This window comes from Homo sapiens, chromosome 13, assembly GCF_000001405.40.
Source record: "Homo sapiens chromosome 13, GRCh38.p14 Primary Assembly".
In the NCBI taxonomy this organism is placed as follows: Eukaryota; Metazoa; Chordata; class Mammalia; order Primates; family Hominidae; genus Homo; species Homo sapiens.
The window spans coordinates 45,048,016-45,062,953 of NC_000013.11; the positions used below are offsets into that span (position 1 = coordinate 45,048,016).

A 14,938-nucleotide genomic window follows, 5' to 3' on the forward strand; every position below is an offset into this window, starting at 1 on the left:
GTAGGCTGACAAGAAAGAAAAAAAATCCTTTTAAATTTCAAATATATATGTAACTCCTATGAGAGACCTGGAAATGTAACCATGGAAACCAGAGCATGAGTGTAACCATGGAGACCCATTGAAACCAGCTGGGCCATTACCATCTAGAAGCTGGTGGGGATGTGGCAATTAGAAGGACTGTTAGCCCTAGTTAATGTGGTCAAGTGATGTCAATTGTTTAGGTGAGTGTTTTACAGACATTTAAGTAATTTCTGGGTACTGCCAATGCTTTAAAATGTTCGACAGAAGGCCTTTTCATAGGACTTCCTATGTTAGACTAATTTCTGAAGGATCCTCCACATCTTTCTCCCCAACCCTCTTACCACACCTCCAGAGTCATGACTTAATCAGTCATTCATTCAGCAGACACACGCTAATTGCCTTGTAATCACCTTGGTGTGCTGGGCACTACTGGATCCCATCGTATACATTATATAATATGGTGTATATACAGATATATACATTATCTGTATATATCCCAGTTCATATACATTGTCTGTCCTAGCAGCTTTAATGCCCAGGCAAATCCTGAATAAAAGGGTCCATTTATCAAGAGGCTTCTTTACCAGAATCTGTCAGAATTTGGGTTTGTGCTTTCAGTAAGTGAGATGAGAACTAGACTTCTTTCATTTTGAAGGAAATGTTCATTATTCCAATGTCATAGAAGTCCTTCACAAAGTCAGACCATTCTCTCCGTCCCATTTCTTTTCTTCTTTCCCTGTGTGCATTACAACCCCATCACTCCTCTGGCAACCACAGGTTCAAAGGCCTTGATGACAGTTTGTCAGGGGAGCTGCTTTGTTGTGTGTTTTGAACACCAGTGTGGTGAAAAGGTAGAGTGCAGTGTCAAATCACCTGTGCCTGCCACTTACCCGTGTGTCACCCTAGACAAGCTATTAAACCTTCCTAAGCCTCAAGTTTCCTCATCTATAAAGAGGAAATAAAACCAATCTCTTTAGGTTATTCAGTGACAACTTCACTCAACTGTGAAACTTTAAACTGCTACCAAGTTTTATCTTCTGGTTTTATCTTTACTTCCCGATATCACTCAGCAGTCTTTCATGTTCTTAGCCCTTTCTCCTATTTTACTCAACAGGTGGTCTAAATGTTTACAACTTCCAACAGTGCATTCAAAACCAGCCGAGCATGGTGGCTCACGTGTGTAATCCCAGCACTTTGGGGGGCCAAGGTGGGAGGATCACTTGAGCCTAGGAATTTGAGGACGGCCTGGGTGAGACCTAGTGAGAACCCATATCTACAAAACAAATTTTAAAATTAGCTGAGTGTGCCTGTAATCCCAGCTACTCAGGAGGCTGACGTGGGAGGAGGACTTGAGCCTGGGAGGTGGAGGTTGCAGTGAGCGAAGACTGCACCTCTGCCCTCCAGCCTGGGTGACAGAGTGAGATCCTATCTCAAAACAACAACAAACAAACAAACAACCATCTGTCTCAGCAGAAAATGATGGAGACAATGATGACAACCGCAGTTGTTGTATGAGGCTTATTATATACCAGACACTGTTCTAAGCACTTCACATATTTTAACTCATTTAATTCTTACCACAAGCCATTGAGGATTATTGTCATCTCCATCATACAGATGAGAAAACTGAGGCACAAGGTGTTAGGGAAATTTCCCAAGGTCATAAGCTACAGAATGGCAGAAAAAGCATTTGAACCCTAGTAGTGCCTGCAAAGTCTGCCCTTTCAGCCACTGTTCAATAGTCAGGCTTTCTCTAGTGATAATGTTCACTGTGAATAGAGTCCAACGGATATGAATGAACTCCCTCAGATGTCTCCTGTTCAACGCCAACATCTGCCTGCACTAACCCGCATCTTCATCAGCCCCTAGTCCATGTTTCAGAAGAAAAAACCAGCCTTCCTCTAATCCTCCCACCCCAATTTCAAGTTCCTTGCTCCCTCAGTTACCCCTTTGTTTCTGATCCCCAATCCTTCCTCTCACTTGGCATCTTCCTCTCAGTATGTCAGCAGGTGCAAGCCCATCCTGCCTTATATATTTTTTCCCCATTCTTGAACTTGGCTAAAATGTCCTACCTTACTTTTTAATTTTATTTTATTTTATTTATTTATTTATTAACTTATTTATTTTGAGACAGAGTCTCACTCTGTCGCTCAGGCTGGAGTGCAGCTCACTGCAACTTCTGCTTCCCAAGTTCAAGCGATTCTCATGCCTCAGCCTCCCCCAAGTAGCTAGGACTACAGGCACCCGCCGCCATGACTGGCTAATTTTTGTATTTTTAGTAGAGACAGGGTTTCACCGTGCGGCGCAGGCTGGTCTCGAACACCTGACCTCAAGTGATCTGCCCACCTCGGCCTCCCAAAGTGCTGGGATTACAGGCATGAGCCACCGCGCCCAGCCCCTACCTTACTATTTTCAACACCACTTGAGTCTCTCTGCTTGTTATCCTCTCTCCTCTCCACAGTCAAGTTCCTGGCTCGAGTTGTCTATGCTTGTCTCCACCCCTTCATCTCCCATGGGTGCTGCACCCTCTGAGGTCTGGTTTCCTCACTTTACTGCAGTTGCTCTCCCGGTGGCCCCCAAGGTTGCTAAAATAAATGGCTTTGTATTTATTTATTTTTATTATTTATTTATTTTTTTTTTTTTTTGAGATGGGGTCTCGCTCTGTCACCCAGACTGGAGTGCAGTGGCGCGATCTCAGCTCACTGCAAGCTCCGCCTCCCGGGTTCCTGATAAATGGCTTTTTAAAAGCCTCAGTCCCACTTCTCTCTGTAGCATTTAACTCTGTTGATCACTTTCTCCCCTTTAAAACCTTCGCCTCCCTTGGCCTGACCTTCTTCTGTGCTTCCACTCTGGATTTTCCTTCTCTGTCTCCTTTACTGGCTCCTCCCTCATGGCCTATTCCTTACTTTGGGGTATGCTTCTGGACCCTTAACCTGCTCTTCCTCTCTCTGGGCGCTGTCAGTATCATGTCTGTATCTTCAACTAAGCCTCCATTCTGAATTCACATCAATGGATAAAAATGGCAATTGACTATCTCAGCTGCGTGATCTGTGGACTCCCCATCCTCAACTCAACACTGCATCCACCCAGAAGCCCAAGTCACAATATCTGAAGTCATTCTCCAGTCCTTCATCCCTCTGACAGGCATCCCCATGACCCCTCATATATAGCTTTCTGTTCCTTGTCCTGACCCCTCCACTACTGCCTTAGTCATCCTTTCTCTCCTAAAATATTAAAATCACCTCACCAGTCTCCCTTCTCCTTAAGCCTCAACCGTAAGGATACCAGTGAGATCTTTCTAATATGCATATCACTCCATTCCACAAAACCAAAAGATCCCTAATGCCAACATAATGAAACCAATTCCTTTGCATATGACCTGACTCCCATCTCTCTCTCCAGCCTCACCAGTTGTCTGGCCACCTCCCTAACCCCTGCCTTTCTAGCACCGTGGCTACAGTACTGGGCCAGATGGAATGGCCCCAATCATGTCTCTCACACCTCCCTACTTGGCACATCCATTCCTTCTTTCTGGAACATTTCCCTAGGGTGTTCATCCGGCAGACTCCTCCCCCGTATTCTCTACTTCCTCTTTGCCACCGCCCTTCCCTCACAGGCCTGGCTTTCCTTGTGCCTTTTACATACTCTCATCCAACAATTCTCGCTTGCATTATAATCGTTGGACTCATCTATTTTCCTTTTTAGACTTACTAGTTCTTCAAGGACAAGTACTACTTATTTGTTGTCCTTGTATTTTTTGTCCCATCAGTGCCCCACAAAATTTCTCGACAACGGTAGACATTTACTAAACATTAGATATTAATATTGTTATCAAGGAGACAGCAGAGAAACTGCCTTGGCAGCTAACACTTTCCATCATTGTCACCACCATCAACATCAGAAAGCACACACCAAATGCCTCTGTAACTGAACAGAGACCTGACCATGTCGTAACTTAGACCAAGTTAGTAGAGATAGTATCCTCATGTGTGTGACGTACACTCATTGGTATACAGACCTCATCAATGCACAGACCAGGTTACACTAGATGACTTCTTTTTTTTTTTATGAGACAGAGTCTCACTCTATTGCCCAGGCTGGAATGCAGTGGCGTGATCTCGGCTCACTGCAACCTCCACCTGCCGGATTCAAGCAGTTCTCCTGCCTCAGCCTCCCGAGTAGCTGGGATTACAGGTGCACGCTGCCACACCCAGGTAATTTTTGTATTTTTAGGAGAGATGGGGTTTCACATGGTGGCCAGGCTGGTCTCGAACTCCTGACCTCAGGTGATCCACCCACCTCGGCCTCCCAAAGTGCTGGGATTACAGGCGTGAGCCACCGTGCCTGGCTAGTACTAGATGATTTCTAAGGTCTCTTCAAAGTCACATCCTGTGAATGGAGGCATTAAACCAAGACATCCAATTAAATCAACCACCATGTGCACACTTATGACGCACAAGCTATTGCACTAAATGCTGTAATAAATGGATAGGAATGAACACTTACCAGTATTTAGATCAAAGGCAAATACAATTAAAGGCCATTTCAATATGAGACTGGGTAGGTAAATAGAAGACAAAGGAGGATACTCATTCAATTAGCTCAGCTGACATTTGTCAGGGCCCAGCTCTTTGCTGGGTCAATGTTGGAAGCTGGGTGGAACAATGAAAACCATGTGGTCTCTGTCCTCTATATGCTCCTGGCCCAGCAAGGCAGACAGCCACACAGCCTTCAAATGCAAAGGGCAGGGAAAGAGGGCTGCAATCAATTCTGTCTAGAAAGGGAAGGCAGGTCTTAAGAAATTTCTCAGTCATGACATTTGGTCTGGCTCTTGAGGGGCTAATGGGTTTTCTCAAGTGTAGAAGAGAGAGTTCCACAGCGAGGGAACAGAATGAAAAGGAGGACATAGGCTCCAACGCTGAGGCACCTTGGAAACCATTGATTTTCCCAGGTCACAAGCAGCAGCAGCTGAGCCACCATCCCGAACTCCACATGAGAACATCGGCTTCATGAGCCCCACAGGCAACGTGTACAGGGTCTGGAGAATGATGGCTGGGGCACAAGGTGTGGGTTCAGAAGTGGAGAAAGCAGGGTCACCAAGGTTAATACATGTCATTATTCAGGTGTGCAGAAAGTAAACTATTTTTTTCTTTTCTTTTTTTTTTTTTTTTTTTGAGACAGGGTCTTGCTCTGTCACCTAGGATGGAGTGCAGTGTTTTGATCATAGCTCACTGCAGCCTCAAACTCCTGGGCTTAATCAATCCTCCCACCTCAGCCTCCCAAACAGCTGGACCACAGGCTCGTGCCACTACACCCAGCTAATTAGCTTTAAAATTTTGTAGAGACAGAGGTCTCATTATGTGACGTAGGCTGGTCTTGAACTCCTGGCCTCAAGAGATCCTCCCACTTCACCCTCCCAAAGTATTGAGATTACAGGCATGGGCCACAGAAGTGACTAAATATTTAATACAATAATTTGGCCATCCATGTAGGTCACCTATGTCCATGTGTGTGTCTTATGCCCACCTTGCCCTCTGCTTCTCTCCCTAAGGGAGCATGGAAGATTATGGTTTTTATAACCTCATGATGGCCAAAAAGAGTTGGGGACTTCAAGAACATAGGCAGCATCTCTTTCCTTCATAGTGCCCCTGGCAGGGCTGGCATTTGAGGCTGAAATTCCATGGCTATCCTAGTCTAACTTAGCTTGACCTGGCCCAGGGGTGCTGCCTGGACTATGAACACTTACTGGGTCCCCTAACACAGTCAAGTCTGTCTGTGTTTCCCATTCAACCCTGGCTTGAGTGCTGTTCACTGCACAGTTCTTTGCTGTGGAACTACTGCTCCTCCATTATGTCAATCTCCTCAGCTAAACTCTAGATTTTATCTGTAACATACTGGCATCAAGGGAGGCTTTAAACAACTAACTCTCAGAGACTGTCCAAGATGAAATGGGTGCACCCGGGAGTCATTCGAAATACTTAAAAGCCAGTAAAGTACAAGCACCATACAATCAGCATGGAAACTGGTCCTTATGAATCAAAACTGGCTGCAACCTCCCCAAGTGGCTCTGTGAGTGCAGAATGGTACAGGGGCATCCTGTAAGAAGGCCCCTATCCTCCCCTGATTTACTGTATACTACCTGCTCTCCAGGCACGTTTCTGCCCACTCTGTTTTCCCATCTCACTCCTCTTGTTCTCTCCACAGTTCCTCACACCTCAAAAGGCTTTTATTTCATTTATCACTCAGTTTTTAGGTGCAAGGAACAGAACCGACGCTGCTGGACTTAAGGAGCAAAGGAATTTATCAGAAGGATATTGGATGGCTTGCAGGAACCTGAGAGGCCCAGAGCCAGGCACTGAGGCTCTGCAGCCAGGAACAATTGCCCACAAGAAAGCCTTAGAAACACTTCTGTGCTGGACCCCACAAGTTCCACCACTGACAACACGGGATCAATAATGCGGCTACGGTCACTGCCATCATCTGCTCTGTACCGCACCTGCTTCTTCCAAACCCCTGATTTCTCATCAATCAGGGTTAGGGAAGATGTCCCTGACTGGCCTGTGCCTTCAGTTGTGCTCAAGGAGCTGGAAAAGCAAGATCTGGTACTTTCTGATTCTCTAGTGGGAATGGGTTCTGCTCAAATAGAGAAAGGGGCTTTCAAGGTTGGCCTGTCAGTATGACTAGCACACTCTACTCTTCCCTCCTGGTTTATTTTCCCACTATAGATAGAGTGGTACTTATCTAGCTGTCCTAGCCTTAAGGGGTGGGAATGCCAGGTTTACAAATAAAAATACAGGTCAGGCACAGTGGCTCACGTCTGTAATCCCAGCACTTCGGGAGGCCAAGGCAGGCAGGTTGCTTGAGCTCAGGAGTTCGAGACCAACCTGGCCAATGTGATGAAACCCCATCTCTACTAAAAACACAAAAAATTAGCCAGGCATGGTGGCACACACCTGTGGTCCCAGCTACTTGGGAGGCTAAGGCACGAGAATTGCTTGAACCCAGGAGATGGAAGCTGCAGTGAGCTGAGATCGCGCCACTGCGCTCTAGCCTGGGCAACAGAGTGAGACTCCCTATCAAAAAAAAAAAAATACGAGATGCCCAGTTATATTTAAATAAACAGCAAATTTTTTAGTGTAATTATGTTCCATGCAATATTTGGAACATATTTATTCTAACAAATTATTCATTGTTTATCTAAAATTCACTGGGCATTCTGCATCTTCTCTGGCAGCTCGCCTTAGGAGTATCTTCTCTATGCTGCACTGCCTTTTCCTAAACTGAGCCAGGCCCCGGTTTCTGAGTGTGATAAAGATGCTGAAGTGCAAAATCCACCTTCAAGATGAAAGCCAGCTGCCTGATCCTGGTTTTGAGTGCCAAAAATTCGAAATTACCCAGTCTTTCTCTCGGCTTTCCTCCCATAACAGATGTGCATGTTCCCTAATCAGACAGACGCCTGGAGCCAGCTAAAGTACAGGTTGTGTCCTTGGGAAAGTGAAGGAGAAGCACATTAAAATTTAAAAAAACGATTACCCAGTTGCAATAACTAAAAGTAGAGTAAGTGGTGCAGAAAGATTTCATGAATTTTTATACTGGGCTCTCTCAAATTCCAGTACCTCAAGTTTCCTGTGACTCACACTTTACAGGGCTTTAATAGGTGGTGAAGCTATAAAGTAATGAAACTGATTTTCATGTGTTACCACACATACATGGAGATGAGTCAACAACTACTTTTGCTCTCACCTCCCACGTCCCAGGGTGGATCCATTACTCAATTGCCGATCTGTTCCTTTAATTCAAAAAGGCAAATGATTTTCAAAGCCACTGCATTTCAATATATTATAGACAAGATGCTAAAACTGTTTCCTAAGCTTTCTTAAAATTATAAATAACACAAACGAGGCACACAACTTTGCCAAATTCTTCTAAAGCAACCCACACAAAGACTTTACTCATTTACACAAGTCTTAGACGAGGAATAATTAGACCTTCTCAAACCAATGTCAGCTCTCTCTGGGCTGCCAGACAAACCACCGTGGGATGTTTCCAAGCCACAGAAAACAAATGGTATCTGTGAGAGCTGGTGCTCGTGCTGGAATATCTTTCACTAGCCAGGCTCCATTCCTTGGGAAGAAACCCCATCTATGCTTCTCCTTAAATTAAGCCTTTTTTCAATTCCTCAAACATGCCTTGTCCTTCCCATTTTGGGGCCTTTGTGCAGTGTTCCTCCTTCTGGAACCCTCTTCTTTGCTTCATCCAGTGACCTGTCAGATCTCCGCTCAAAATCATTTCCTCTGGAAAAAGTCAGTTCCCTAAACCTCCTCACCCCAAGCCCTGTGGCTGGATCAGGGCTCCCTGTTACATGCTTTCAGAGTTCATGCTGCCACTCCTTCTTAGGCTTATAAGGCTATTGTTGTGTGATTTGGGGATTAAGGCCAACTCCTGTCTTACTCAGTCATGGATGTTTTGGCTGGGTGGCTGCTTGTCCGAAACCCCATCTCCCAGCCTTCCTTGCAGCTAGGTGTGGCCTCGTGACTGGAATCTAGCCAATGACTGCATTCAACTTCTGAGTGTAGCACTTAGAAGGAAAGGAGGGGAGCCTCCTTTTTTCTGTTTCTCCCTTCAACAGCCTGAAGGCAAATGTAATGGTGAACTGATAAGGGACAGGACAGCAGAGGGACAAAGGGAGCCTGGGTGTCCATCACCATCAATCCACCAGACTAGCTCCACTCACTATCTGGATTGTGAACCTGAGAACTGCACGACTTTCCTGGTTTGGTGGTGGTGGTGGTTGTTATTGTTGTTTGGAGACGGAGTCTCTGTTGCCCAGGCTAGAGTGCAGTGGTGTGATCTCGGCTCACTGCAACCTCTGCCTCCCAGGTTCAAGCGATTCTCCTGCCTCAGCCTCCCAAGTAGCTGTGATTGCAGGCGCATGCCACCATGCCAGACTAAGTTTTGTTTTTTGTTTTGTTTTTTGAAACGGAGTTTCTCATCACCGAGGCTGGAGTGCAGTGACGCGATCTCAGCTCACTGCAACCTCCATCTCCTGGGTACAAGTGATTCTCCTGCCTCAGCCTCCCGAGTAGCTGGGATTACAGGTGCCTGCCACCACACAGGCTAGTTTTTCATATTTTTAGTAGAGATGGGTTTTTACCATGTTGGCCAGGCAGGTCTCGAACTCCTGACCTCAGGCAATCCACCCACCTCAGCCTCCCAAAATGCTGGGATTACAGGCGTGAGCCACCACACCCAGCCTAAGTTTTGTATTTTTAGTAGAGATAGGGTTTTGCCATGTTGGCCAGGCTGCTCTCAAACTCCTGGCCTCAAGTGATCCACCTGCCTCAGCATCCCAAAATGCTGGGATTACAGGTGTGAGGCACCATGCCTGGCCATGACTTTCCTGTTTAAGCCACCGTACTGAGTCTCATGAAAGTAGCCTGTATCTAGCAAATGCAGATTGGAACCCAGAGCCACTTGATCTCAGAATCCAAGCTCTGAATGACCACCACATGATGTTTTCCACACCATGGGCCTCTTCTCTATTATACATGTTACAATACATCTTAACATTTCACAGATCATATAGCAGACCACTTTGATGAACGTGGGGCTCACTTCCTGGATCTGTACTAGATCCCAGAGTGAATATGGTGCCCTCCAATTCATGCAATTCTCCTGCCTCAGCCTCCCAAGTAGCTGGGATTACAGGCATGCACCACCACACCTGGCTAATTTTTTGTACTTTTAGTAGAGACAGGGTTTCACCATGTCGGCCAGGCTGGTCTTGAACTCCTAACCTCAAGTGATTCACCCACCTCGACCTTCCAAAGTGCTGGGATTACAGGTGTGAGCCACTGTACCCAGCCACGTTGTATGTTTGCCATACTTTTTCCTTCTCACTCAATTTCCATCTATGTTTTTAAACCCCTGAGAGTCTCTGATAAGGTCCTCAGGACCACCTTTGTTTCTATTATTATTAATAAGTAACTTGGTTCCCAGCGTGCCCTCACCCCTGCCCCATCACACTCAGGAGAAAGGAAAGCTGACCATGATGGAGAGTCCTGATCTTTCTTGGAGGCCAGCATCACTCAAGGCTGTTCCACCCCACTGCTATAAGTTTGGTGAAACCAAAGCTAAAGAGAAGCCTCCTGATATCAGGAAGCAAGTAGTTAGCCTTTTCTGCATAACTTATTTTTTTTTCTGTTTCACATATAATTTTATTTGTTTTTTGTTTTGTTTTGTTTTGTTTTGTTTTTGAGATGGAATTTCACTCTGTCACCCAGGCTGGAGTGCAGTGGCACGACCCGGCTCACTGCAACCTCCACCTCCCGGGTTCAAGCAATTCTCCTGCCTCAGCCTCCCAAGTAGCTGGGACTACAGGCATGCACCACCATGCCCAGCTAATTTTTGTATTTTTAGTGGAGATGGGGTTTTGCCATGTTGGCCAGGCTGGTATCAAACTCCTGACCTTAAGTGATCCACCTGCTTCGGCCTCCCAAAGTGCTGGGATTACAGGCGTGAGCCACCGCGCCCAGCCACATATAATTTTACATAGATGCACATCATTGGCTATTTGGGCGCAATGCTTCCTCTTTTTTTTTTCTGCTTGATTTCCCCCTTCTCTTCTTCTCCTTTCTCCCCTCCAGCAGCAGCCATTGCTCCACTAACACACACAACAAGCCAGATCACCAACCAAGTATGCACACTTCTGTATTTTTCTCCATGCTTACAAAATCTTGTGTAGAAATTGGGAGTTTGGACATTTTCTTCTTCATAAAAGTGAGAACGTGGCTGGGTACGGTGACTCACACCTGTAATCCCAGCACTTTGGAAGGTCGAGGTGGGTGAATCACTTGAGGTTAGGAGTTCAAGACCAGCCTGGCCGACATGGTGAAACCCTGTCTCTACTAAAAGTACAAAAAATTAGCCAGGTGTGGTGGTGCATGCCTGTAATCCCAGCTACTTGGGAGGCTGAGGCAGGAGAATTGCATGAACCCAGAAGGCGGAGGTTGCAGTGAGCAAAATTTGTGCCACTGCACTCCATCCTGGGCATCGGAGTGAGACTCCATTAAAAAAAAAAAAGTGAGAACATATTATATACACTTTTCTGCATCTTCCTTTTCTCATTCAACTATACCTCATGAACATCTATTTAAATCCATTGGTTTAGATTTATTTCATTATTTTTAATGGCTGATGCTGATTAATAATTCATTATATTGATATGCCATAAATTATTCAGCCATGGGCTTTGTTTTGTGCTTTTTGTCACAACAAATAATGCTGCAATAGCATCCACGTGAACTAGTGGTTTCATCTCTGTGGAATAGATTCCCAGGCATGAGCTTCCTGGGTCAAAAGCCATGTTTAATTTTAATCAACATTGTCTTCAATTGCAATGGCTTGATTCCTTCACATTATCCTTTTTTTCTCCCTAGCTTCCTACAATTCTTCATTTTCCCCTCTTCCCTGCTACATCCTTTCTTGCTTCTATTTTCTATAATTAAATTAAAAGGCTGAAATGTTTTATTTTAGGTCAGTCTTACAGGCTAAAATGTAAAACATTTGTGCTACTATATAAAAATGCAATAAATATTATATAATAAAGAAATCCCCATTGTTTTAAAAGGCTTAAAGAAAGAAGCCCTCTTCTGCCTGAGACCAAGTAATCAACAATGTAACTACAGGTTTGTAATATGATACCTATTTTTCCTCTCTTTCGTAGTTAATCAAAAGATACATTCACAAATTCTCAAACGCTATGGTAACTGAATATTATCAGTAGCAAATTATGCAGTCCCCTGCCAAAGTTTCCTAGGTAATTAATTATATGAGATATTGCTTTTCTGGAGCATCCTCTGCCCCCAAATCCCACTCCTAGGACGATTTATTCATTTGGCAAATATCTATACAGCTATTGTTATGTGCTAGGCACTGTACTAGATGTGGGGCATATACCAGGGAATAAGACGGACAAGATCCCATTCTCACAGAATGCCTAGTAGAAGGAAAAAATAGTGAACAACAAGTTATGCATGTTTTTGGATAATATTATTTTAGTTGGGGTAAAATACACATAGACTGTACCATCTTAATCATTTGTAGATGTACAGTTCAGGGGTATTAAGCACATTCACATTGTTGTACAACCATCACCACCATCCACCCACAGAGCTCTTTTCATCTAGCAAAACTGAAACTCTGTACCCATTAAACGATAACTGACCGCCCTCTCCCTCCACCTGCTAGTCAGCACCAGTCTTTCCTATCCCTGTGAAACTGACCACTCTAGGTACCGCATACAAGTGAAGTCACAGTATTTGTCTTTTTGTGCTATGTCACTTAGCATAATGTCCTCAAAGTTTATTCATGTTGTACTGTGTGTCACAATAGCTTTCCTCTAGAAGGCTGAATAAAATCCCATTGTAGGCATACACTGTATTTTATTTATCCATTCAACTGTTAATGGACAATTGGGTCGTCTCCACTTTTTGGATAATATTTTAAAGCTATTTTTGACCAGGCACGGTGGATCACTCCTGTAATCCCAGCACTTTGAGAGGCTGAGGTGGGCGGATCGCTTGAGTGCAGGAGTTTGAGACCAGCAGGGCAACATATGGAGACCCCATCTCTACAAAAAATACCAAAAAAAAAATTAGCTGGCCCAGTCTCTACAAAAAATACAAAAAAAAGAATGTAAGGGCAATCTGGCTGCAATATCTGTCACCCTACTGATCACCAGGGTTGATTTGGCTAATCTGGCTGGCTAGGAAGGTGTCCCCTTCCTCCCTCACGGCTCCATGTGCGTCCCTCCGGAAGCTGTGTGCTCAGTCAAAGGGGACGACCATCCCCAACAGAGGAGGACTGGTCTTCGGTCAAGGGTATATGAGTAGCTGCACTCCCCTACCAGAACCTCCATTCAAGCTCTCAAAAAATACGGGAAAAACATTAGCTGCTTGGGAGGCTGAGGTGGGAGCCTGAGCCCAGAGAAGTTGAGTGAGCCATGATTGTGTCACTGCACTCCAGCCTGGGAAACAGTGAGACCTTGTCTCAAAAGAAAAAGAGGTATTTTAAATTTTTTTAAAAGAGGTTTAAGTTTCCACACTAGACTTATAAAGCCAGTAAACACTGGCAAATTATTCTTCTCACATAACTTTAACTGCACATTCCCTGACAGAGTAAATATATATTTGACCTACTATTTTTAAAATATTAACCATTGTTTTTTCTCTCTAGCTATTTCCTTCCTCTCCCTGTGTTCTCCCCATTTAAATAGTGACGCTGGCCAGACACACTGGCTCACACCTGTAATCACAGCAATTTGGGAGCCCAAGGCAGGAAGATCACTTGATCCCAGGAGTTTGCGACCAGCCTGGGCCACATAGCAAGACTCTCATGTCTTACCAAAAAAAAAGCTTGGGCAACATGGCGAAACCCTGTCTCTACAAAAAATACAAAAAATTAGCTAGGCATGGTGGCATACGCTTGTGGTCCTGGCTACTAGGTAGACTGAGATGGGAGGATCGCTGGAACCTGGGAGGTAGAGGTCACAATGAGCCAACATCACGCCACTGCACTCCAGCCTATGCCACAGAGCAAGAGCCTGTCTCCAAAAAAAAAAAAAAAAAATAGTGAGGCCGTGTTCACTGCTTAGAGGAGGTGTTAGCAGCAAAAAGCCTTTTCCAAGGGTCTCTCTGGCCATGGCGTCCAATAGCCTAGGTACTTAAGTAGAACCATATAGGACTTTAGATTATCTTAACAGACAGCTTTATAGACAGGTAACACTGAAGATAAGGGGGGCACCCCCAACACCTTCCCCTCTTCTCCTCTTCACTCCAACTATAGAGGCTTAGTCCTACGTAACTATAGAAACTTTTGGGGTTGGGCGCTGTGGCTCATGCCTGTAATCGCAGCACTTTGGGAGGCTGAGGTGGGCAAATCCCTTGAGGTCAGGAGTTCAAAACCAGCCTGGCCAACATGGTGAAACCCCATCTCTACTAAAAATACAAAAGTTATCCAGCTGTGGTGGCATGCACCTGTAATCCCCGCTACTTGGGAGGCTGAGGTGAGAATCGCTTGAACCCGGGAGGCAGAGGTTGCAGTGAGCAGAGATCATGTCACTGAACTCTAGCCTGGGCGACAGAGTGAGACTCTTGTCTCAGAAAAAAAAAACAAAAAACAAAAAACAAAACCCTTTAGGACTCCCAAATTGACTGAAATTATGATTCTATCACCATGGTTGAATGAGATTTTTTTTTTTTTTTTTTTTTTTTTGATACGGAGTCTGGCTCTGTCTCCCAGGCTGGAGTGCAGTGGCGCGATCTCGGCTCACTGCAAGCTCCGCCTCCCAGGTTCACGCCATTCTCCTGCCTCAGCCTCCCGAGTAGCTGGGACTATGGGTACCCGCCACCACGCCTGGCTAATTTTTTGTATTTTTAGTAGAGACGAGCTTTCTCCGTGTTAACCAAGATGATCTCGATCTCCTGACTTCGTGATCCGCCTCAGCCTCCCAAAGTGCTGGAATTACAGGTGTGAGCCACCGTGCCCGGCCGAATGGGATCTTAAAATATAAATTAAGTTATATTTCTTGCTCACCTGAGGTGAACTGAAACCCCTACTTCTATATGCAGTTAATGAGTCTATTATAATGGTATTATGCTCTGTGAAAGAAGGACTGGAGTTCATGAGAGCCTATAATGGGCATCCGATCTTGGGAGAAAAGGGGGCAGCAGGCGATTGGGTTAGGCTTCCTTGAATTTGAGCTCAGATCTCAAGGACGAATATGAAGTAACTTGACGAAGGATGTGGTCCAAGCAGTTGTATCTCATCTCCAGTGCTTTTAGCTCCAACATTCTCATGTCCTTTCCCCCCACCAAAAATATTCCCACCATTACTTTGTTACCAGGAAAACTTGTCC

General features: G+C 45.0%; 1 long non-coding RNA gene and 1 pseudogene across 1 annotated transcript, besides 3 other annotated features; both read left to right on the forward strand.

The window, feature by feature from the left end:
• Positions 1-131: 131 nt before the first annotated feature.
• On the forward strand, positions 132-11,708 carry LOC107984596 (uncharacterized). Its single transcript, XR_001749861.1, has 3 exons — positions 132-221; positions 6,268-6,623; positions 11,651-11,708. It is a non-coding gene; the product is annotated as an uncharacterized LOC107984596 (long non-coding RNA).
• Positions 7,470-8,669: an enhancer, noted in NCBI's record as "P300/CBP strongly-dependent group 1 enhancer chr13:45629620-45630819 (GRCh37/hg19 assembly coordinates)". NCBI's record gives its function as "activates an origin of replication core promoter dependent on BRD2, BRD4, P300/CBP, MED14 and CDK7 cofactors, with strong dependence on P300/CBP, by STARR-seq in HCT116 cells {active_cell/tissue: HCT116}" and the evidence as "EXISTENCE:reporter gene assay evidence [ECO:0000049][PMID:35650434]".
• Positions 7,470-8,693: a biological region, named in NCBI's record as "P300/CBP strongly-dependent group 1 enhancer GRCh37_chr13:45629620-45630819".
• Positions 8,399-8,693: an enhancer, noted in NCBI's record as "tiled region #4080; HepG2 Activating non-DNase unmatched - State 3:PromF, and K562 Activating DNase matched - State 3:PromF". NCBI's record gives its function as "activates a minimal TATA promoter and a strong SV40 promoter by Sharpr-MPRA in HepG2 and K562 cells {active_cell/tissue: HepG2 | K562}" and the evidence as "EXISTENCE:reporter gene assay evidence [ECO:0000049][PMID:27701403]".
• RN7SKP3 (RN7SK pseudogene 3) lies at positions 12,714-13,071 on the forward strand (annotated as a pseudogene).